The sequence below is a fragment of the Homo sapiens genome, chromosome 3, assembly GCF_000001405.40.
Source record: "Homo sapiens chromosome 3, GRCh38.p14 Primary Assembly".
NCBI classification, from domain to species: Eukaryota; Metazoa; Chordata; class Mammalia; order Primates; family Hominidae; genus Homo; species Homo sapiens.
The window spans coordinates 27535267-27559925 of NC_000003.12; the positions used below are offsets into that span (position 1 = coordinate 27535267).

General features: G+C 43.3%; 2 annotated features.

Annotated features, from left to right (window-relative positions):
• Window positions 13685-14185: an enhancer, noted in NCBI's record as "H3K27ac hESC enhancer chr3:27590442-27590942 (GRCh37/hg19 assembly coordinates)". NCBI's record gives its function as "activates a minimal SCP1, AML or CMV promoter by ChIP-STARR-seq in naive H9 embryonic stem cells {active_cell/tissue: H9 hESC(naive)}" and the evidence as "EXISTENCE:reporter gene assay evidence [ECO:0000049][PMID:30033119]".
• Window positions 14186-14686: an enhancer, noted in NCBI's record as "H3K27ac hESC enhancer chr3:27590943-27591443 (GRCh37/hg19 assembly coordinates)". NCBI's record gives its function as "activates a minimal SCP1, AML or CMV promoter by ChIP-STARR-seq in naive H9 embryonic stem cells {active_cell/tissue: H9 hESC(naive)}" and the evidence as "EXISTENCE:reporter gene assay evidence [ECO:0000049][PMID:30033119]".

The following is a 24659-nucleotide window of genomic DNA, read 5'->3' on the forward strand; positions in this document are numbered from 1 at the left end:
ACACACACACAGAGCAGGTTTTGAGCTCATGGAGGACTCAACCTGGATTTGACTCAGAGAAGGCATTTGGCCACAGGCATTTCAGTTTGCTTTCAGAAAGTGAGGAATTACAAATGAAAAAAAGCTCTGACTTTTCAGCTGGTTTGAGTGTGGAAATCAAAGCTTGGCTTTTTTCTACCCAGAGGAGTCTAGGTACTCTGTGTCATTTCTAGTATATAATTACAATATATCTGTATGCCCACATATTGTCACTATATTAGGTATTTTACAAAGCCCAGAAAAACAGAGCCTCTGTCCTGGTGTTCCAAATGTTAGTCAACCTATTTAAACTCTTGGTAACAATGCTGAGGTAATGAAAATGAACTCAGCTGCCACTGTTGGCACAGACACAGCGGAAGGAAGAAGTATTATTTGATTCAAAGCATTCTCATTTAGGGGAGAAAAAATTATAATGCATATCACCACTAAGTGGAAAATAAAGATTATAAACTTGGAGTTGTATTCCTGAGACCTTGACATTTTAAAATAAAAGGCTTCAGTGTTTGCAGAATATTTTTTCATTAATGTCTCAGTTACTTGTTTTTAAGGATAATTATTTGTGGATATTACAAAAGAACTTCCTGAACTACCCATTTACTTGTGGGCATATACATTTGAAAGATGCCCCAGGCCCATTCCAAAGCAAAACAACACACACACCTAATTGTGACTTTATGCCTAACTAGCCTGGTATTCATGACACATCTTTAAAAATTCTCTCAAAAAAGTGACCAGTTGTTTGGCTCCTGCCTTTAATCCCAGCTCTTTGGAATACCAAGACAGGAGGATTACTTGAGGCCAGGAGCTTGAGAGCAGCCTGGGCGACATAGTGAGACCCTGTCTCTACAAAAAGGTTAAAAATTAGCTAGATATGGTGGTGTGCGTCTGTAGTCCCAGCTACTCAGGATGATGATGTGGGAGGATCACTTGAGCCCAGGAGTTCAAGCTTGCCCTGAGCTACAATTGCACCACTTCACTCCACCCTGGGCAACAGGGCAAGACCCTGCCTGTAAAAAAAAAAAAAAAAAAAATTAAAATTAAAATTCTATGAAAAACATGAAGACCTGGGATCAGACTCTGGCAGACTGACTTGTTAACACTTTTTCAGAAGAATTCTGCTCTTATCTCACTTAACCTTGGGTATCTTTTCTCAGAAAAGTGACTGATGAGATGTTCTCAAATCTTATGACAACCCATCAAGTTGCTTCCATGCTCATTCAGCTCAAGATATCCAAGAAGTCGGTACCTAGGGGCCATGTCTTTGCTGTCATCCTGATTCTTTAGCTGTAGATTATCAGTGTGCCTGTCCCAAGTCAGGCTAGTTTGGCAGAGAATCCCATATTCTCTTGTATGAGAGCATGGGGTGTGAAATTTGGAGATGTGGTGTTCCTTGCCATATGGAGGAAGCCAATTTTCAGAAAGAAAAAAAAAGAGCTCACACTTGGAGAGATGAGACAGAGAAAGTGCTGGCTGCATTTCAGTTTCTGGTTCTATTTGTCCCTAAGATCATTCAGCTTGCCACTTAGGGATAACATATGCCAGAATACTTTTTAAAGATGATCACCACTACCTTCTCCTTTTTTTTTTTTTTTTTTTGAGACAGAATTTCACTCTTGTTGCCCAGGCTGGAGTGCAATGGCGTGATCTCCGCTCACTGCAATCTCTGCCTCCTGGGTTCAAGCGATTCTCCTGCCTCAGCCTCCCGAAATAGCCGGGATTACAGGCACCCGCCATCACGCCCAGCTAATTTTTTTGTATTTTCAGTTGAGATGGGGTTTCACCATGTTGGCCAGGCTGGTCTATGAACTCCTGACCTCAGGTGATCCGCCCTCCTCGGCCTCCCAAAGTGCTGGGATTTTAGGCGTGAGCCACCGCGCCGGCCTTTTCGTTTTGTTTTGTTTTGTTTTTGGCCTAAGCTACTTCAGGTTGGGTTTCTAAAATACTGATCAAATTGATTATGAAAAAAAGTATCAAGATCAACACCATTTTTTTCTTAAGGAAAATTAGACCCAAGGGACTGTAGAAAGATATTTATTTACATTGGTAAGAATCTTTCAACAAATGACTGGAGAGCATGCAAATAGAATGTGCTACCTGAGTGCTACTACAGGGCTTTAAGACCAGAGAATTATTATTATTTTTTATTTTTTTTATTTATTTATTTGAGACAGAGTCTTGCTCTGTCGCCCAGGCTGGAGTGCAATGGCACTATCTAGGCTCACTGAAACCTCCAGCTCCTAGGTTCAAGCGATTCTCCTGCCTCAGCCTCCCGAGTAGCTGGGTTACAGGTGCCCGGCACCACGCCCGCTAGGTTTTGTATTTTTAGTAGAAGCAGGATTTCACCATGTTGGCCAGGCTGGTCTCGAATTCCTGGCCTCAGGTGATCGGCCTGCCTTGGCCTCCCAAAGTACTGGGATTACAGGCATGAGCCACTGCGCCTGGCCCACCAGGGAATTATTTTTAAGACCAGAATTATTATTATTTCTGTCCTTCTAGGAGATTGAAATCTTGTTGATATGATAGAATTAGCTTTGCTTCCATGGGAACTTCTTGTTTACTGTATATTACCCACCACTTGTGTAGTCACAAGGCAGGAATATGGGCTTTGTTTTTTGATGTAGCTAAGCACCTAGGACAATGCTTTTTATATAGTTGGCCTGCAAGAAAAATTTGCTAAATGGATGAACTAATGTTTGTTCACATCTTATTCCTGTTAGGTATATTAGTTCTTATATGAATGACAGAAGAAACAATGAAATTGAAGGAAAGGAAGATGAACGCTAAGGTAATTAGGACAAAAAGCAAGCTCAAATGTCACAGGAAAACTATTTTTAAATTTAACAATTTGGAAAATTTTGCTAACACTTCTGTTTCAGTCATTGATCATAGATGAACCAAAGGTATTTCTCTCCATCCCACCTCTATTTAATTTCTGTTTTATGTACTGCTAGTTACAGTCTTTTACATATTCTTTCCTTTCCTTAGTAATAGCACCCCTTCAATTTTAGCTAAGCAAATGGGAGTACAGCCAAAAACCGTATTTTCCAACCTGCTCCCCCTGCCCAGGCTTCTGGGATGGTGAGTTCTGATCCTCCCTTGTACGGGGGGACGATCGTCATTTCACAGTGGAAGATTATGGTGCCCCCAGTGTCTTGCTTGGGTTTCCTGTGGCACGTTGCAGAGGGGAGCCAATCCATTTGACATTGTAAACTAGGCAGCAGTCCGTTGCCAAGAGTGTTGCTGTCTCAGAACTACACAACTTCCCATGTCTTATTAAATAACCGTGACTTACCCTTTCTTTGTACCCACTAAACATCTCACGCTTTTGCCCATAGATGGTGTGTGGCAAATCTCTTTGCCGCCATGTGTCAGATGGTGGTCTGTCTTTAGAACAAAACAGATAATTGGGTCTGCAGACAGCTGCCCCCTTCTCCATCCTGGGCCTGCCGTGGTGCATCCAAGCAGCTAACCTGAGTACCTGTAGCCACTTCTATATTGCTTGTATTGCTACTTAGGGGTCTTGCTGCAATGTTCCTCCACATACCTGGCCCTCTGCATACCTGGCTCTAGGGAAATCATGGAAGAACAATGTGATAAGAATGTGAGGGTCACTCAAGAGTATACTGGGGTGGGCCAGGCACAGTGGCTCATGCCTATAATCCCAGCATTTTGGGAGGCCGAGGCAGGTGGATCACCTGAGGTCGAGAGTTCGAGACCAGCCTGACCAACATGGAGAAACCCCATCTCTACTAAAAATACAAAATTAGCTGGGCATGGTGGCGCATGCCTGTAGTCCCAGCTACTCAGAAGGCTGAGGCAGGAGAATCACTTGAACCTGGGAGGCGGAGGTTGCGGTGAGCCGAGATCGCACCACTGCACTCCAGCCTGGGCAACAAGAGCAAAACTCCGTCCTCCACAAAAAAAAAAAAAAAAAAAAAAAAAAGAGTATACTGGGGTGGAGTGTATTGTAGAAGCAACTTACAGCAATAACTTAAAAGAAGAATGTGTGTTCAGAGCTCTGAGCTTAAGGAATCCAGGAGTGGCCAACGCGGAGATTCATTCCTTATCTATGAGGAACTTCTGAACCCCCAGACTGTCTCATGAACACGGGCCATACAGGGGATTGATGTCCTGACGTCCTTTGTTTTGGGTTGAATGAAGGTTGCCACGTGGAGATTGCTATGGGGAGGATGCTAAGTGAAAATGTTACCTAAACTGCATGCTTTCTGCAAGCAGTCTTGGTTCTCCTTTCCAGCCCACTGCCACTGGGCCGTCTGTTTATGGAAGTTACCCCTAATAAAACTCAATATTGGCCAGGCTCAGTGGCTCACACCTGTAATCCCAGCACTTTGGGAGGCTGAGGCGGGTGGATCACTTGAGGTCAGGGGTTCGAGACCAGCCTGCCCTACATATAGTGAAACCCCGTCTCTACTAAAAAATGCAAAAATTAGCTGGACATGGTGGCGAGCACCTGTAGTCCCAGCTACTTGGGAAGCTGAGGCAGGAGAATTGCTTGAACCCGGGAGGTGGAGGTTGCAGTGAGCCGAGATCGTGCCACTGCACTCCAGCCTGGGCGACAGAGCGAGCCTCGGTCTCAAAAACAAACAAACAAACAAAAAACCTAATACAGTGTCTGACATAATATAGGCATAATGACTCTTCCTGTAATGATAGTGATAGTGGTAATAGTGAAAGAAGATGAGGAGGAGGAGGAAAAGGGAGAATGAGGGGTAATGGAGGGGAAGAAGACAGGGATGAGGAGAAGAATAGGAAAACTATTCCTGGACTAGGTTGGTGGGAATGAAAATGAATAAGAAAGGGTGACTGTGGCCTGTAATCTCAGCACTTTAGGAGGCAGAGGCTGGAGGGTTGCTTGAGCTCAGGACTTTGAGACCAGCCTGGGCAACATAGCGAGTCCCTGTCTCACCCCACTGTAAAAAAAATAATTAAAAAAAGAAGAAAAGATGGATTAGAGAGCTATTAGCAAACATTAATAAGACTATATGCAGTCTGGAAATGGGAAGTGAGGTAAAAGGAAAAGTCAGTTGTGATTCAAGTTTAAAATATCAGTTGAATTGGCTGATTCTTGAATTTCATCATTTGCATCCACCAGTACCAAAAGTAGGAACAACGATGATGAAAAATAACTCTGTGGTGTGTGTGTGAGAGTGTGTGTGTGTGTCTGCGTCTGTGTGTAAGAAGCTAAAGATTTCACTGAGGGCCAGGCGCCGTGTCTCACGCCTGTAATCCCAGCACTTTGAGAGGCTGAGCCGGGTGGCCACCTGAGGTTAGGAGTTCGAGACCAGCCTGACCAACATGGTGGAACCCCGTCTCTACTAAAAAATGCAAAAATTAGCTGGACGTGGTGGCGAGCACCTGTAGTCCCAGCTACTTGGGAAGCTGAGGCAGGAGAATTGCTTGCACCGGGGAGGCGGAGGTTGCATTGAGCCAAGATCATGCTATTGCACTCCAGCCTGGGCAACAAGAGCGAAACTCCGTCTAAAAAAAAAAAAGAAAAAAAAAAAGATTTTCTTGAGTATTCTCCCTATCCAGTGCCAGCTACATAATTTGTGGGACTCCACAAATTTGGTTAAACATCATTCTGGCTGTTTCTGTGAGAGTGTTTTGAAAGAGATTAACATTTCAATCTGTACACTAAGCAAAGCAGTTTGCCCTCCCTAATGTGGGGGGCCTCATTCAGTCAGCTGAAGGCCAGAACAAAGGGCTGACCCTTCCCAAATGAGAGAGAGGTTTTCCCTGACTTAAGATTTAAACTGGCCGGGCGTGGTGGCTCACGCCTATAATCCCAGTGCTTTGGGAAGCCGAGGTGGGCGGATCACGAGGTCAGGAGTTCGAGATCAGCCTGACCAACATGGTGAAACCCCATCTCTACTAAAAATGTAAAAAAATTAGCCAGGCATGGTGGGGCACACCTGTAATCCCAGCTACTCGGGAGGCTGAGGCAGGAGAATCGCTTGAACCTGAGAGGCAGAGGTTGCAGTGAGCCGAGACCACACCACTGTACTCCAGCCTGGGTGACAGAGTGAGACTCTGTCTCAAAAAACAAACAAACAAACAAACAAAGATTTAAACTGAAACATTCTCTTCCTGGGTCTTGAGCCTGCTGGCCATCATACTAGAACCACACCATCAGCTCTCCTGAGTGAGTCTACAGCTTGCCAACTCACTTTGCAGATCTTGAGACTTGACAGCCTCCATAATAGCAGGAGCCAATTCCTTATAATAAATCTCTTTATACACACATATGCGAGTGCATGTGCGTGCACACACACACACACACATACACACACACATACACACACACACACATACACACACACCCCTACATCTTACTGTTTCTGTTTCTCTGGAGAACCCTGACTCCAGAGAAAGTGCAGGATCTTGTGTAGCTGCACTGATCACATATCCATGAAGCCGACCCTGTTCCTATTTTCCCTACTTGCCAACACATACCACAAAGAGAGAGAAAGAAAAAAGTAGGGGAGGAGAAAGAGAAAGAGGTGAGTTAGTGGGAAGAACAAATTGGCTTGGTTTTTATGAGCTATCAATAATCTCTTGCTGTCACTATAAAGCATACATAATTTTTTACATATAGCAATAAAAGTACAGACCACATAAGATAGCTTAGAAATTTCCAGTGTCCTGAGATCATATATTGAAACCTATTGATTTAGAAAAATATTATTTTCATATGCTAAAGAGTAACAGTTCAGAAATAATATCAACTGAACCAATGTCCTTCTTTTGTACAGTTATCTCTGCTCTTATAGGACAACAAGGCTTTATCTAAAACCCTGGGGCCAGATGTCAGAATTCAGAATTATCTTGGATTTTTAGAAAAGTAATACAATGTATGTACTGTGTATTATTTACACTCCCAGCAGACTCTGGGACAGCACTCTGTACTAAAATACATTAATATTTTTGCAGTAAAAGGTGAATATTTATGCTACTTGGCCAAATAGTCTCATGTAGGTCCAGGTAAAGTTTTGCTTTCAAATGAGTTCAGGTGAGGTCAGATTTTGCTGCCAAATAAGCTACAAAAACTCAGTTTGTAGTGCTTTCTGGATTTTGGAATGCAGATCAGGATTAATGGATGTGTGGTTCCTGTTTCCATCAGTTGGCCTCTCCTGCCACTCACATTCATGTTCCGGTTGCAATGAACTCAGGAGAACAAAATGAGAGAGGCGAGTTTGCTGGGAGAGAATCCCATGATACATTGAAAAGGCCAAGAGGATGGCTCAGGATTTAACCTTGCAACTGCCTTCCACACCCCTTGGCCCAGATAACTGAGAGCTACGTGAGCCTAGAAAATGAATCAGAACTAAGGTTCAGGGGACAAAAATCCCCACCGACCTTTCCCGGAGTTGTTCCTTCATGCACTGTAGCACACCCATGGAAACTTCCTCCTAGGTTATCCTAAGTCAAAGTGGCTGCTACCACTTTGGGCTCTGAACTGGGGGAAGTCCTCTAGCTCTTTAAGGATATTCATATCTGTCAACTGAAGGGCTGGTGGTAGTTAACTGTAGGCAAAGTGCTTCAAAAGACTGTCTGCAACATTCAGCCAGATCATTCAGCCAGATAAGTAATTATTTGGAATCGTTTTCTTTTCTTTTTTATTTTTTTTGGTTTGAGACAGAGTCTCGCTCTGCTGCCAGGCTGGAGTGCAGTGGTGCAATCTTGGCTCACTGCAACCTCTGCCTCCCGGGTTCAAGCAATTCTCCTGCCTCAGCCTCTCAAGTAGCTGGGACTACAGGCATGCACCACCACACCCAGATAATTTTTGTGTTTTTAGTAGAGACAGAGTTTCACCAAGTTGGCCAGGATGGTCTCTGTCTCCTGACCTCATGATCCGACCACCTTGGCCTCCCAAATGGTGGGATTACAGGTGTGAGCCACCGCGCCTGGCCTGGAATCATCTTAAAATACATATATTAACACACTAAATATGGCTATATGTAATTATCACATACATAGATAATGGTCCACACCATGTTTTCTCAACATATCTTTAGTCGTGCTCTTAAAATATATGTAGAAGTCTTATCAGCATCTTGTGACACTACCTTGGCAATTCTCAGATGTGTGGCCATTGTATAAATATTGCTTGAAGCCTTCTTAAAAGGATGTAATTTTTAAGAGATTCAATGTTGCTCATATTAAAGGTAAAGGAAGACTTTGCCTATGGGGATCCTTCTGCATGGTGGTGCATTCTCATCCATCCTGCCCTCAAAGCCCAGGACCAATGCCACTTCCTCTACAAAAACCTGAAACAAAGTCTCACCTGGTTCCTCTAGTTGGAAGGGAACTCTCTTACATCTTCTGAAGTCTCACAGAACTATTTCAGCATCTTTTGTGTAGTGTCAATTACTTTTTGTCTTGCCAAATTGTTTCTGGAAACCATTTACTTTTACATCTGCAACTGCCCCCAGGCTAAAACCTTAAATGGAGGTAAATACTTAATCATTTAAAACAGTTTTTTTTAGAGATAGGGTCTCACTCTGTTACCCAGGCTAGAGTGCAGTGGTGCCATCGTAGCTCACTGTAGCCTTTATCTCTGGAATCAAGTGATCCTCTCCGCTCAGCCTCCCTAGTAACTGGGACTACAAGCGCATGCCACCACAACAGGTTGTTTTTATTTTTATTTTTTTGTAGATATGGGAATCCCACTATGTTGCCCAGGCTTGTCTAGTACTCCTGGCCTCAAGTGATCCTCCTGCCTCAGTCTTTCTTAGTGTTGGGATTACAGGTGTGAGCCACCTTGACCGGCCTTGACATTGATTTTTAATATGAACATTTGTGCACTTAACTTTTTAAGTATTTGTTTCTTTAAGTTCACTGAAAAAATGAAGTTAGTCTTAAAAAGTTTCTCTAGGCCGGGCACAGTGGATCATGCCTATGATCCCAGAACTTTGGGAGGCTGAGGCAGGTGGATCACCTGAGGTCAGGAGTTTGAGACCAGCCTGGCCAACATGGTGAAACCCCGTCTCTACTAAAAATACAAAAATTAGCCAGGTGTGGTGGCACATGCCTGTAGTCCCAGCTACTCAGGAGGCTGAGGCAGGAGAATCCCTTGAACCTGGGAGGCAGAGGTTGCAGTCAGCCGAGAACATGCCACTGTACCCCCAGCCTGCGAGACAGCGTGAGACTCCATCTGAAAAAAAAAAAAAGTTTCTCTAATAAGTTGTTGATGCAACTGAATTAAAAAAAGATATTCTATTTTTCAAAGGAAATCAGATTACTCATTAATTACTCAACATCAGTCACTATGAATTGTGCAATAATGAAAGCAAAATTTAAAAACAGGAGACTCTAAAAAGAGTCAGCAAATTAGATTATGAATGGAATGTTTAAAAGACAAAGATTGAGCAATTTTAAGGGTCACAGCTGTCCCTAGGAACTTAACCAACTACAATGTTCAGAACAATAGTGTATGTAAAGGAATGCATATTAGATCAGATCACATAAAGCCAAGTATTGAAACACTGAAATTCAAGTAAGGAACCTACACAATCCCTACTGTTAAAACAGAGAGAGAGAGAGAGAGAAAGAAAAGTAATTTATTCATCTCCAGTAACATGATCATTCACTATATTGAAATGCTAAGGCAGTAAATAATCTAAGATTTGGGTTTGATGAAATTAGTACGTTTATTTCTCAGACATGCAGAAGGAGGTATTTAATTAACCAGCAAGATTGCCAGATGAAATAAAGTACTCTCAAGTAAATCTGAATTTCAGATAAACAACAAATAATATTTTAGCATAAGTGTATCTCACATTTTTAATGGATTTATATCTCAGTTCTGATTCTCTGCTACTAATTATTATGACTCATTAATTCAATTACTGATTCAACAGTAATTTGTTGAGGGCCTTATTCTATGTCAAGTACTGTGGGTGGAATTGACCACATGGTGATAAGCAAAATAGTCATGATCTTTTCCCCATAATTCGTACAGTTTAGTAGGCTGATTGAAATGAGTAAATAGGCAATTACTCTAACATAATACTTGCCATGATTCACAGTTTATTCATTAGAGGGACAATTAACCCAGGCTTGGGTCAGAAAAAGATGCCTAGAGAAAGTAATTTAGATTAGGCCAAAGGCAAAAAGGTTGAGGAAGTAGAGGGAGAGTCTAATGAGAGTGTACCTACCACAAGGGGAAAGCTTGGAAGACAACGGATATCACGGGACATTTGAGAAACCGAAGACTCCAATAAAGTCTAGTTGAACTATAGACCACAAAGCTGTGAGTGGCAAGAAATGTGACTAGAGAGGTATGCCATGGTCAGATCATGAGGGGCCTTGTATAAATCCAATGGAAGCCTTATTGAATGGTCCATGCAGCAAAGTGACAGTCATATTTACAAATTAGAAAGCTCACTCTGGCAGTAGAGGAGAAAATAGACTGGAAGTGAGGACACCATTGTTGTGGGTTCGGAATGGGTATAGAAAGAAGTAAATAGATACAAGAGCTATTTAGAAGGTCACTCAAAAACTGTTTTGCTCTTTAGATAGGTGCAAAATTGGAGAGAGCGTCTCCCTCTGTCGCCCAGGCTGGAGTGCAGTGGCACTGCAGGAGTTCAAGACCAGCCTGGGCAACATAGTCTCTACAAAAAATAAAATTAGCTGGGTACAGTGGCACATGCCTGTGGTCTCAACTGCAGTGAGCCGAGATCGTGCCACTGCACTCTAGCCTGCGGTGACAGAGAGACTCTGTCTCAAAAAAAAAAAAAAAAAAACTAGGCTGGGTGTGGTGGCTCATGCCTATAATCCCAGCTTTTTGGGAGGCTGAGGCAGGTGGATCACCTGAGGTCAAAAGTTCAAGACCAGCCTGGCCAACATAATGAAATCCCACCTCTACTAAAAATACCAAAAATTAGCTGGGCATGGTGGCGGGTGCCTGTAATCCCAGCTACTTGGAAGGCTGAGGCAGGAGAATCACTTGAACCTGGGAAGCGGAGGTTGCAGTGAGCCGAGATTGCATCATTGCACTCCAGCCTGGGCAAGAAGAGCAAAACTCCACCTCACAAAAAAAAAATTAATAAAGTGTACCTAATTTACCTATAATGTGATTTTGGTTGACTTGGAGTTACTGGAAAACCAGCCCATAAATGGGCACTTTGCCAGGGTTATAGACAGAAATTTCCATGGGCCTTATTTGACTGGCTGCCTAAGAGGATCACCAATTATACAAACTATCCATGAGATAGTTTTTATTAATAAAGGAGTATGTTTAGTTTTTTCTCATGAAGATGATCTGTGCCCCGCCATGATGAGAGAAATAATTCAAAAAGGAAGCCAGAAAGCGAAATCAATGATATGCAAAGGAATCAAGACTAGTGACAAACATTGGCAAATGGAAAAGGGAAAGAAGCAATGTCATCAAATAAAACAAATAAGCAAACACGGCCATAGTTTCTCTCTTTTTATTATTTTTTTCTTTTAAAAATAGAAGTGGGGGCTCTTGGGCCACTTGCTTGAACCCACTCCCACTTTGTGGAGTGTACTTTCATTTCAATAAATCTGTGCTTTCGTTAAATAAATAAATAATAAAGATGGGGTCCCACTTTTTCAACTACACTGGTCTTTAACTCCTGACCTCAAGTGCTCCTCTCGCTTAGCTGGAATTACAGGCGTAAGCCACTACATCTAGCCCATAGTGACGACTTATTGAAAACTGGGCCAGGCGCAGTGGCTCATGCTTGTAATCCCAGTACTTTGAAAGGCCAAGGTGGGTGGATCGCATGAGCCCAGGAGTTCAAGACCAGTCTAGGCAACACAGTGAAACCCCGTCTCTACAAAAAATACAAAAATTAGCCAGATGTGGTGGCATGCACCTGTAGTCCCAGTTACATGGGGAGATAAGGTGGGAGGATCACCTGAGCCAGGAAGGTTGAGGCTGCAGTCAGCGGAGAGACCTTGTCTCAAAAAAAAAAAAAAAAAAAGAGAGAAAATGGACTCCTGTGCCATGCCCTGGTTTAGGACAGTACATATATTATCTAATTTCATTCTCACAAATGTACTAAGAATTAATTGTTGTTCCTGTTTTACAGATGAGGAAAATTGTGGCTGTAAGTAACTCCCCGCTAAAATCACACTGCTTGTAATTGCTAGAGTCAATATTTCCATCCCAGGTTTCTTTACCTGTAAAGGACTATTGTGCTGCTCAGAAAAGATAATTTTCTCATGGAGGGTCAACCTGGCATTTCTGAAGCAGTACCTTTGCATTCTGAACAGAACAACAAGGACAACTCATAGGGACCATTAAGTTTATGAAATGCTGGTATCTTTCTATTGGGAGGTAAAAAAACTTCCATGCATAGATTTGGTGAGGCTAATAGAGGCATGTTTTATAATTTGTGAAGATGTTATTCAAGATTCAGTACACCCACCTATTACATCTTTATTTATTTCTTTATTTGTTTTTAGGCTCGTCAGGTGAAGCAGTGGGAATGGAAAAGGAACAAAGAAATCTGTAACTGATTGTGATCAATTAGTTGTAAACACCACTGCCCTTGGACCAGCGACCCACCTAGTACTTCCTAGTTCTATAGATTTAGGTAAGGATAGCAGATGCAGCCAAAATAGTTAAATTATTGATGGTTGATTTATGATGACTTAGAAAACAGTAACACTCATTTAGAGTTAGCAGTAGGAGCTATGTTCACTAAGAACAAGCCATGTCATGCTAATCTCATTTTCATCCATATCTGTGCTATTCTGCTGAACAGGAAGATTAGGGGAATGCTGTAGAAACATTCTACCTTGCTTTGATCAAGGTTCTTAGAAAGATGCTTCACAATATCATTGTGAAATGAGGATGGTAATCTGAATACTAGTTCAATTGAAGACAGCTATGGTTACTTAAACAATCACATCCTGAAATAATCAATAGTGATTGGATATCTCTGGTGAAATTCCATAAGGCATCATATTTCTTTGTGTGTTTGTTTGAGACAAGGTATTGCTTTGTTGCTCAAGCTGGAGTGCAGCGGAGAGATCACGGCTCACTGCGGCCTCAACCCTGAGGCTTCAAGCAATCCTCCCACCTTAGCCTCCTAAGTAGCTGGGACTACAGGTGTGCACCATCACGTGCAGCTAATATTTTATTTTATTTTTTGTAGAAACGGGGTCTCACTATATTGCCCAGGCAGGTCTTGAACTTCTGGGCTCAAGTGATCCTCCTGCCTCAGACTCCCAAAGTGCTGGAATTACAGGCATGAGCCACTGTGCCTGAAGGCATCATATTTGAACTTGTCTTTTTCAGTAAATTTTTAGTAACTTGAATAATGTGATTATCTTATTGAGCTTCAGATTCCTAATAAAAGGATTCCTAGAAATCTTCATGTGAATGTCCAAAGCAACTCAAATTAACACGTTCAAAACTGAACTCATTATCCTCTCTCGGAATTGCCTCTGTCCATTTCTCCCTAACTCAATTAACGGACTATCAAATAGTCAAGATTCTCAACTGCAAGTGCCCGAACTCAATTTTAAGTAGTTTAGACAACAAAGGAAATGTATTGCCTCATGAAATCCAAGGAAAATTTATATAACCAAATTGTAGGAGGGGCAGGGATGCAGATGGGCCCCGGGAATAACTGCAGCCAGGGTCTTCAATATTAGCAGGAATCCTCTTCCTGTTTCTCCTTGCCTTTTGGCTTCATTTTCTTTTGCTTCAGACTGACTTCTTCTATATGATGAAAAATATGGCTGCCAGCTGCATCCTTTTATATCTATCTATTGCAACTTCCATTCTTTATAAGGGACTGACTAAAGTTCACTTTGGTTCCAAGTTAGAAATTTTGGAGAAGTCTGATTGGCTTGGATTGAATCAGTTGTTCTCCCCTGTATCCATCCCTATGTATGCCAGTGGGATGGGATATATGCTTGTCATAGGTGAGGTGTCTTCCTACACCAGTCAGTTAGGGCCACTGTGGCAAAATTATAGGAAAGCCAACTCCAGCTCCCTTGAAGTAAATTGTTAAGCAGTTTCAGAAGAAAAGTTGGGAGTTTCTTTTTTTTTTTTTTTTTTGAGATAGGGTCTCGTTCTGTGACCCAACTGGAATGCAGTGGTGCAATCATGGCTCACTGCAGCCTCAACCTTCTGGGCCCAAGGGAGCTTCCCACCTCAGCCTCCTGAGTAGCTGAGACTACGGGTGGTGCCACCATGCACGGCTGATTTTTTGTAGAGATGAGCTTTCGCTATGTTGAGCAGGCTGGTTTCAAACTCCTGAGTGTCTCACGTGTCTGTGTGAAGAGACCCCCGAACAGACTTTGTGTGAGCAACAAGGCTGTTTATTTCACCTGGGTGCAGGTGGGCTGAGTCTGAAAAAGAAGTCAGCAAAGTGTGGTGGATTATCATTAGTTCTTATAGGTTTTGGGATAGGCGGTGGAGTTAAGAGCAATGTTTTGCTGGCAGAGGGTGGATCTCACAAAGTACATGCTCAAGGGTGGGGAGAATTACAAAGAACCTTCTTAAGGGTGGGGGAGATTACGAAGTACATTGATTAGTTAGGGTGGGGCAGAAACAAATCACAATGGTGGAATGTCATCAGTTAAGGCTATTTTCACTTCTTTTGTGGATCTTCAGTTGCTTCAGGCCGTCTGGATGTATATGTGCAGGTCACAAGGGATATGATGGCTTAGCTTGGGCTCAGATGCCTGACATTCCTGTCTTCTTATATTAACAAGAAAAATAAAATGAAATAGTGGTAAAGTGTTGGGGCGGCAAAAATTTTGGGGGTGGTATGGAGAGATAATGGGCGATGTTTCTCAGGGCTGCTTCAAGCGGGATTAGGTGTGGCATGGGAACCTACAGTAGGAGAGATTCAACTGAAGAAAGATTTTGGGGTAAGGGGTGATATTGTGAGGTTGTTAGAAGGAGCATTTGTCATATAGAATTATTGGTGATGGCCTGGATGCGGTTTTGTATGAATTGAAAAACTAAACTGATGACACAAGGTCCGAAGAGAAGGAGAAAAACAGGTATTAAAGGACTAAGAATTGGGAAGACCCAGGACATCCAATTAGAGAGTGCCCAAGGAGGTTCAGCATAGCCCTGCCAGCAAAGATTATTTATTTACTTTAAGAGGGAGTTAAGAGTGGCGGTTTGGGGATAGCACCAGGAGATATCAGCTGTGATGGCTTGGAGAAACAGTGTAAACCGGCGGTGTAAACAAGAGTAGGGCATTTATGAGTAGTTGAGAATGTTGTAGGAGTGTGACTAGATGGAAGATAGTAGGGATGACTATTTTGGGGGGCTCAGTCTAAGTAGTGGGGGTGACTTCGTAAAGCCCTGTTGCAAAAAGTAGGGTAAGGACGAACAGACCTAATAGAATGAAGGGACGTATTAGGCGCATAAGGGTTATTACTGTTCTTCAGAAATGTGAGTGGGTTTAAGGGAAGTAGGAGAGAGTACTTGCGATTTCCAGGAGGAAGAGGAGAGATTAGGCTGGCTGTCGGAGGGACACAGCTTTATCCTGGAACAGTGAACCCGGTGGGGAGGATCCTGCAGGTGGACGGCAGTTGAGGTACCATAGATGACTAAGTGGGGTAAGGGCGATTAGGTTTTAATGGGATGGTAAGTGGTGCACGATTGGTTGCCAAGAAGGGAGTAGAGGTGTCCTATATTTGTGGTTTAAGGTGGGGAGATACAAGGAGAGGATGTGAAGGAGGGTTTGAACTGGGGAAAAGGGCGGCACTGAGGTGTGGCTGTAGCCTAGGAATAGTCAGGGAAGCAGATAATTTAATTAAAATGTTTCAGCCTAATAAGGGAACTGGGCAGGTGGGCAAAACTAAAAAGGAGTGCTTAAAAGAGTATTGTCTAAGTTGGCACCAGAGTTGGGGAGTTTTAAGAGGTTTAGAAGCCTGGCCATCAATACCCACAACAGTTATGGAGGCAAACGAAACAGGCCCTTGAAAAGAAGGTAATGTGGAGTAGGTAGCCTCCGTATTGATTAAGAAGAGTACGGACTTACCCTCCACTGTAAGAGTTACCCAAAGCATCTGTGATGGTCCAGGAGGCTTCCGAGGCTATCGGGCAGCGTCAGTCTTCAGCTGCTAAGCTGAGAAGATCTAGGAAAGAGTCAGTCAGAGAGCCTTGGGCCAGAGTTCCAGGGGCTCTGGGAGTGGCTGCTGGGCGAGTTGGACAATCTGATTTCCAGTGGGGTCCTGCACAGATGGGACATGGCTTAGGAGGAATCCTGGCTGTGGGTATTCCTTGGCACAGTGGCCAGATCTCTGGCACTTGTAGCAAGCTCCTGGGGGAGGAGGTTCTGGAGGAACCCCTGGCAGCTGCGGTTCAGGCGTTTGGAGTTCTTGTGTGCTGGAAATATGGCTGGGGTTTGTTTCACAGTGGAGGCAAAGAATTGCAACTCAGAAATACATTGCTACTTGGCTGCCTCTACTCTATTATTGTACACCTTGAAGGCGAGGTTAATTAAGTCCTGTTGTGGGGTTTGAGGGCTGGAATTTAATTTTTGGAGGTTTATTTAATGTTGGGAGCAGATTGGGTGGTAAAATAAAATGCATATTGAGAATAAGATGGCCTTCTGACCTTTCAGGGTCTAGGGCTATAAAGCATCTCAGGGTTGCTGCCAAACGGGACATGAACTGGGCTGGGTTTTTATATTTGATGAAAAAGAGCCTAAATGCTAACTGATTTGGGAGAGGTTGGATAAAGAAAAAGGAGCATTAACCTTGACTATGCCTTTAGCTCCAGCCACCTTTTTAAGAGGAAATTGCAGGTAGGGGAGGGCTAGTCGCCGAACGAAACTGTAAGCCGGACCAGGTGTGAGGAGGGGAGGTGATAAAAGGATTATAGGGTGGGGGATTGGAGGCTGAGGAAAAATTGGGGACCTAGCTCGGCCTGGCAAGGAGCAGCCTGGGGAGGAGGGGAGAGGTCAGATGGGTCCGTAGAAAAGGAAGATTCAGAAGACTCAGAGACACTTGGGGTTGGGACTGAAGGGACAGGCAGGAGGGAAAGAAGGAAGATTTGGGATGAGTTGCATTGGGAACAGAGACTAGGGAGGGACCGATGTGTAAAAGAATGCCTGGACGTCAGGTACCTCACACCGTTTGCCCATTTTATGACAAGAATTATTTAGATCTTGTAGGATGGAGAAATCAAAAATGCCATTTTCTGGCCATTTGGAACCACTGTCGAGTTTGTATTGGGGTCAAGTGGTGTTGCAGAAGAAAATAAGACACTTAGATTTTAGGTCAGGTGAGAGTTGAAGAGGTTTTAAGTTCTTGAGAACACAGGCTAAGGGAGAAGAAGGAGGAGTGGAGGGTGGAAGCTTGCCCATAGTGAAGGAGGCAAGTTTAAAGAGAAGGGTAGAGACATGGAGAGAAGGGGTGGGGGGTGCTTGCTCCCCAGGAAAGTGGAAAAGGGGTGGGAGGTGCTTGCACCCCAGGAAAGTGGAAAAGCAGCAGAGACACGGAGAGAAGGGATGAGGGGTGATTTCCCCCCAGGAAAGTGGAGAAAGGGTAGAGACACAGAGAGAAGGGGTGGAGTGAGCAGCCCTGGGCTGCAATGTGGATAAGCAGCCAAAGCAGGCATCCCCGCAATTGACTTGCCACCAAGGGAATGTGGGTGAATGACCAAGGCAGACATCCCTGCGGAGATCAGACACCAATGGAATGTGGGTGAATAATCAGGCAGGCATCCACACAATGATTAAACACCAAGGAAAGGCTGCCTTCCCAAGTCCGTGACCAGCACCGGAGTTTTGGGTCCATGGATAAAATGTGTCTCCTTTGTCTCTACCAGAAAATGAAAGGAACTGAAATTAACAGAAGGGAGAGATTGAAGGGTGGCGCCAAGATTGAAAGGAGAAAGAGGTTGAGGGATAGTGAGAGGGGTTGGACAAGAGAGTAAAAATAGGCCGCTTACCCAATTTACAATCGGTGAGATGTTCCTTGGGCTGGTTGGTCTGAGGACCGAAGGTCGTAGGTGGATCTCTTCACAGAGTGAGGGTGAGGACAAGGGACTGCTCTCCCAAAGGAGTCCCGCTGACCCGGGTCTTCGGCACCAAATGTCTCACATGTCCTTGTGAAGAGACCACCAAACAGGCTTTGTGTGAGCAGCAAGGCTGTTTATTTCACCTGGGTGCAGGCGGGCTGTGTCTGAAAAAGGAGTCAGCAAAGAGTGGTGGATTATCGTTAGTTCTTATAGGGTTTGGGATAGGTGGTGGAGTTAGGAGCAATGTTTTGCAGGCAGGGGGTAGAACTCACAAAGTACATTCTCAAGGATGGGGAGAATTACAAAGAACCTTCTTAAGGGTGGGGGAGATTACAAAGTACATTGATCAGTTAGGGTGGGGCAGAAACAAATCAAAATGGTGGAATGTCATCAGTTAAGGCTATTTTCACTTCTTTTGTGGATCTTCAGTTGCTTCAGGCCATCTGGATGTGTAGGTGCAGGTCACAGGGGATATGATGGCTTAGCTTGGGCTCAGAAGCCTGACACTGAGCTCAAGCAATTCTCCTGCCTCAGCCTCCCAAAGTGTTGGGATTACAGATATGAGCCACCAGGCCTGGCCTGATTTTTTCATTTTTAGTAAAAAATGCAGTGGTATAAGCAGCAAAGCCTTAGGTGCCACAGTAATGACAAATCCATCCATTCAAATGAGAGAAAGTCATCCTAGACCTCTATTCCTCTTGAACTCTCTTAGCCAATCAGTCAACAAATCCCCAGATGTATTAAATTGGCTTCTTCCCATTTTTACCAACTACGTTCCACTTTCCAACTTCAGATCCTCCCTGTATCTTGCCTGAACAACTGGCAGTGGTTTTATCTGGTGGCACTGCCTTTTGCTTTCACCATTCTTCCTGTTTCCATCAGAATGAGCTTCCTGAAACACAAGTCTGATCCTAATTACAATCCTTCCAAGACTCCACATCACCCAAAGGATAAAGTTCCAAACCTAACATAAAGCAAAATCCTTCTAACAAGGTTTGATGCCACTTCTCCAGTCTCATCCTCACTGACTCCTGATTTATTCATATTTCATGACTTCAGCACACTTCTGGAAATTCCCTCAGATGTCTCAACCAGCAAATGCAAGGAGAATCTGCTTAACTGTAGGACTTTAGAAGTTAGCAAGATAATTCCAAAGACCTCCTCTGTCAGCCACTGATCGGGGATCTTATCTTACACAGAATCTAAAGAGATAGAGACTCTCTAATCCACCTTGTTTTATTTTTACAGATGAGATCCTGAGTCCCAGCAGAATAAATTTACTTTATCTATGTTATGGTGGGCAACAGCTTAAGTCTTCTGATTCTCATTCTAATGCTCAAAATCCAGTGAGAAGTGTGAACAGATCTGATAAACAAAAGGGTTGGGAAGGAGGAGGATATAGCCCCAGGGAGAAAGGGTCCAGAAAAGAGGATGCACATTCATTTCCCTAAATCAGACTCCAAAAGTGTAAAATTAAACCAAAAAAGCTTATGAAGGTTAGGGAGAAGAGAGACTAGAAACTTCAAAGGGGAAGTGGAGACGGAAGAAAAGAAATGGAGAAACAGGGAACTTAAGAAATCATCTGCTTGGGAGAGGGATGGGTCCAGGGCCAGGAACAAAGGACCCAGATGGTTTTAATGACCAAACTCTGCCTCATTACTTTCATCTGACTGCAGCAGGAACTGTCATCGGTGGTGAAGGCACCACTGGTGCCTTGGAAGTTTCTCACTGAAGCTGGGATACTTTCCCACTTGCCAAATCTCACACCAAGAAGCCTGTTTACCCATTCTCAGGACTGTTCCAATATTCAAGCCTAGGTTGAAATTTATAAAGTGAGTAACAGTCTCCGAAGTCTCCTTTGGTCCTGCCCATGATTTACTTTAAAATATAATTTATGTTGGAATATGATTTCTGGCTTATCTCGGCCTGCTTGATAAAGCAAAGAATTGTTAACACCTGTGATAAATACAAAACTACCAACCAATGTGTGCTCAAAAAGAATACTTTGAGGCCGGGCATGGTGGCTCATGCCTGTAATTCCAGCACTTTGGGAGGATGAGGCAGGCAGATCACAAGGTCAGGAGCTCAAGACCAGCCTGGCCAACATAGTAAAACCTCATCTCTACTAAAAATATAAAAATTAGCAGGGTGTGGTGCCATGCACCTGTAGTCCCAGCTACTCAGGAGGCTAAGGCAGGAGAATTGCTTGAACCCAGGAGGTGGAGGTTGCAGTGAGTTGAGACCACGCCATTGCACTCCTGCCTGGGTGACAGAGTGAGACTTTGTCTCAAAAAAATAATAATAATAATAATACTTTGAATACATTTGATTTTAAGGAAAATGGTAAAATTCATCTTGAAACAACTCTTCTCTCTTTTCTTCTTGCTGCCCAATCCCCGCGAAAGTTGAATTATTATTATTATTATTATTGTTTTGAGACAGGGTTTCACTCCTGCCACCCAGGCTGGAGTACAATAGCATGGCTCACTGCAACCTCCACCTCAAGCGATTCTCCTGCCTTAGCCACTCAAGTAGCTGGGACTACAGGGGCATGCCATCATGCTCAGCTAACTTTTGTATTTTTTTTGTAGACGTGGGGTTTCGCCATGTTGCCCAGGCTGGTCTCAAACTCCTGGGCTCAAGCGATCCTCCCACCTTGGCCTCACAAAGTGCCAGGATTACAGGCATCAGCCACCACACCTGGCCTAAAAGTTGAATTCTTAAGATATTCCAATGTTGGAGTTACCTATGTTGGGGCTCAAAAACCAAAATACCAACATATGGCATTTTGACATGCTAAATTAAAAAAGTCTCAAGGTCTCTCTGATCTCCCTCCCTCCCTCCCACCCCCCACCACCTCTCCCAGAATCTTTATCTGCTTAAGATCCAAACCCACCAAAAGGAACAATTGTTTTTCTTCCCCTTCCAGTAAGACCAAGAATGTTACCACATCTGAACAGATCCTTTTACCTTCAAAGAGAAATAGATGCAGAACAAATTAATGCCTGTTCCCAGATCTATTAATTCTCCCTTGTAATCCCCTCAACAGAATTTCTCTTCTCCTCCCATAGCCTGTTTTGCGGAGGTGGTATACAAGCTTCTAACCACACTGGAGATGGGCAATTACTCTGAGATACTTCTCATGCATACATTGTACATGTGTTAAGTACATTTGTATGCCTTTTCTCTAGTTAATTTGCCTTTCGTGATTTGACTTTTCAGATAACTCTCAGAAGGCCAAAGAAAAAGCTTTCCCTTGACCCTCACACCTACAATTAATGAAATATTCAGAAACAAAAGGTTTCCTAGCCAGGCACGGTAGCTTACGCCTGTTATCTCAGAACTTTGGGGAGCCAAGGAGGGAGAATTGCTTGAGGCAAGGAGTTCGAGACCAGCCTGGCCAACATAGCAAGACCCCCATCTCTATAAAAAATTTTAAAAATTAGCAGGGCATGATGGCACACTCCTATAGTGCTAGTTACTTGGGAGGCTGAGGAAGGAGGATTGCTTGAGCCCAGGAGTTCAAGATTACAGTTAGCTGTGATCCTGCCACTGTATTCCAGTCGTGTAATGGAGTGAGACCCTGTCTCTAAATAAAAAAAGAAAAAAAAAAGAGGTTTCTCCATAGGAACAAAACAGTAACGTAACTCCATGAATTCTGAAGTGAATCATTGGCCTTCCATAGACCCACCCAAATTTCTTTTCCAACAACTCGAGTTAATATCAGCAACATGAGATCCCAGACTGTGTTCTTTTTATTAGTTTGGAAAGAATGACTAATCCCTGTATTCTATTCTTGGAAACTGTTATTTTCACCAACTTAGGAAGAATGGACTAATACTAATAGTATCTAACATTTATAGCACTTTCACAGTTTACAAAGTCTTCTTCCATATAATCCTCACAGCAGTTCCGAGCCGAAGTGACTTGCCATGGCTCACCTGTAGCTAAGTGGCACAGCTAGGATATAAACACAGGTTTTCTGAATCTGGCCTTCAGTTCTAACTGTGCACTGGACAGGGCATGTAATGGTAGCTGCTGAAACTAATGACATCCATGTTTCAGTGGTGGAACGCAGTAAAGTTGATTCCTCATTCTTGTCACAGCAATATGGGTTGATGGGGCTGGGGATTCTGCTCCATGTAGTCACGCAGAGACTCATGTTCTTTCTACCTGTGCATTAATATCTTCTACATGTGGCCTCCAAAGCTACTAGAGAATGGGAAATAGTGGGAGATCACACATGGGAGCTTTTTATGGGCCAGGCCTGGAAATGGCTCACATCACTTTTGCTCATGTCCTTTGGCCAAAACCCAATCTCAGCAAGGAAGGCCAAGATGTAATTCAACTGTTTTCCCAGATCCACAGCCTTGGGAAAGTAGAACTGAGAACTTTGTCTTTTAGTACTTTAGTTTATCAGGCCTCCGTGAAGTCCCTTCTGCTGAGGAGGCCATGCTGAGCAGTCTCTGGAAGTTTTTTATTTTCCTTCCCATGTGATCCTTTTGCTTCTCTGAGCTCCCAGAACTCCTCTTTCTTTATTCCTCCTACTTTTCAAACCTTTCTCAGAGGCTGTTTTAAGATATATAATGTTATCTTCTTATTTTCTGTAACTTTTCACTTGTGTATTTCTCCCTGACATGAAACATAAACTCTTTAAAAGCAGAATTGTATCTACTATTGCAATACTGTGAGATACATTTCCTCTAGTCACCTTAATCAACCCTCCACTTCATCCAAAGAAATTAAATTCTGCCAAAATTGATGGAGGCTTATTATGTACAAGGTGCTATGCTTGGTGCCATTGGAAGAAGCAAAGAGGAATTAGGAATGGGTCTTTAAAAGCTTGTAAAAAAAAAAGGCTATACGTGAAAGTACAATCAAGAATGTAGAAATACACTGATAAGAAAATATAGTTGGAAGAGGCTGATTCTGAATTGACGGAAAGGGGACTGGAAAAGTTTTCACTGAAGAAATTATAAACATGATAGAAGTAGCTAGCAGTTGTCGAACTTTTCCTATAAGCCAGGCACTGTATTGGAGTGTTTTATATATGTCACACCATGTCATTCTCATAACAATCTTATGAGAGGGCACTGTCATTGTTCCCATTAACCAAATAAGAACAAACATGGGGAGAATTTGCTATAAAGGACGTTTCTGGGTCAATTGGTGAGATGTCAATATGGACTGTAGATTAGATAGATAATCGTATTATTGTATGAATGCTAAATCTCTTGATTTTGATCATTATTTTCTGGTTATATAAGGAATGTCCTTGTTTTTTTTTTTTTTGAGAAGGAGTCTCGCTTTGTTGCCCAGGCTGGAGTGCAGTGGTGTGATCTTGGCTTACTGCAACCTCTGCCTCCCAGGTTCAAGCAATTCTCTGCCTCATCCTCCCAAGTAGCTGGGATTACAGGCGCTCGCCACCACGCCCAGCTAATTTTTGTAATTTTAGTAGAGACTGGGTTTCACCATCTTGGCCAGGCTGGTCTTGAACTCCTGACCTTGTGATCCACCTGCCTCAGCCTCCCAAAGTGCTGGGATTACAGGCATGAGCCATTGCACTTGGCCAGGAATGTCCTTGGTTTTTTTTTTTTTTTTTGGAGGTGGAGTTTCACTCCTGTTGCCCAGCAACCTCTGCCTCCCGGGTTCAAGCCATTCTCCTGCCTCAGCCTCCCGAGTAGCTGGGATTACAGGCATGTGCCACCATGTCCGGCTAATTTTGTATTTTTAGTAGAGACGGGGTTTCTCCATGTTGGTCAGGCTGGTCTTGAACTCCTGACCTCAGGTGATCTGCCTGCCTCGGCCTCCCAAAGTGCTGGCATTACAGGCGTGAGCCACCTTACCCAGCCGAATGTCCTTGTTAATAGGAAATTTACTCTGAAGTATTTAGGAATAAAGGGGCATGATGTCATAAATTTCCTCTCAAATACTTCAGAAAACTGTAATAATTAGATGTGTGTGCATTCATGTGTATGGAGAGAGAGAGAGAGAAGGAAAGAATGATAAAACAAATGCAGCAAAATGTTAACAATTGGTGACATATGGCAGGTTGGGCTGCTATAACAGAATACCACGGACTAGGTGGCTTACACAACAGAAGTCTATTTTTTTTATAGTTCTGGAGGATGGAGGTCCAAGATCAAGGTACAGCATGATCAGGTTCTAATAAGAACTCTCTTCCTGGCTTACAGATGGCTGTCTTCTTACTGTGTTCTCACATGGCAGGGGGGTAGCAAGTTCTCTGGTGCCTCTTCTTCTAAGGGCACTAATTCCATTATGAGACCCAACTCTCATGACCTCATCTAAACCAAATCACCTCCTAAAGGCACCAGGCTAAATACCATCACACTGAGGGTTGGGGCTTTAACATATGAATTGTGGGGAGACACCATTCAGTCCATAGCAGTGAGTGATGGGTATAGTGGAAATTTTGTACTATTTTTGCTACTTCCTGTAAGTTTAGAATTATTTAAAAATAAGAAGGTAAAAGAAAAAAGAAAAAACATTGGCATAAAGTGTTTTACCCAGGTCACGCAGCTGGTGAGTGGTAGGAAATGGTCTTTTCCTATGTTCTTTAGAACCCACTCTCTTAGATGCTGCACGGACACAGATGCTTTGTGACTTC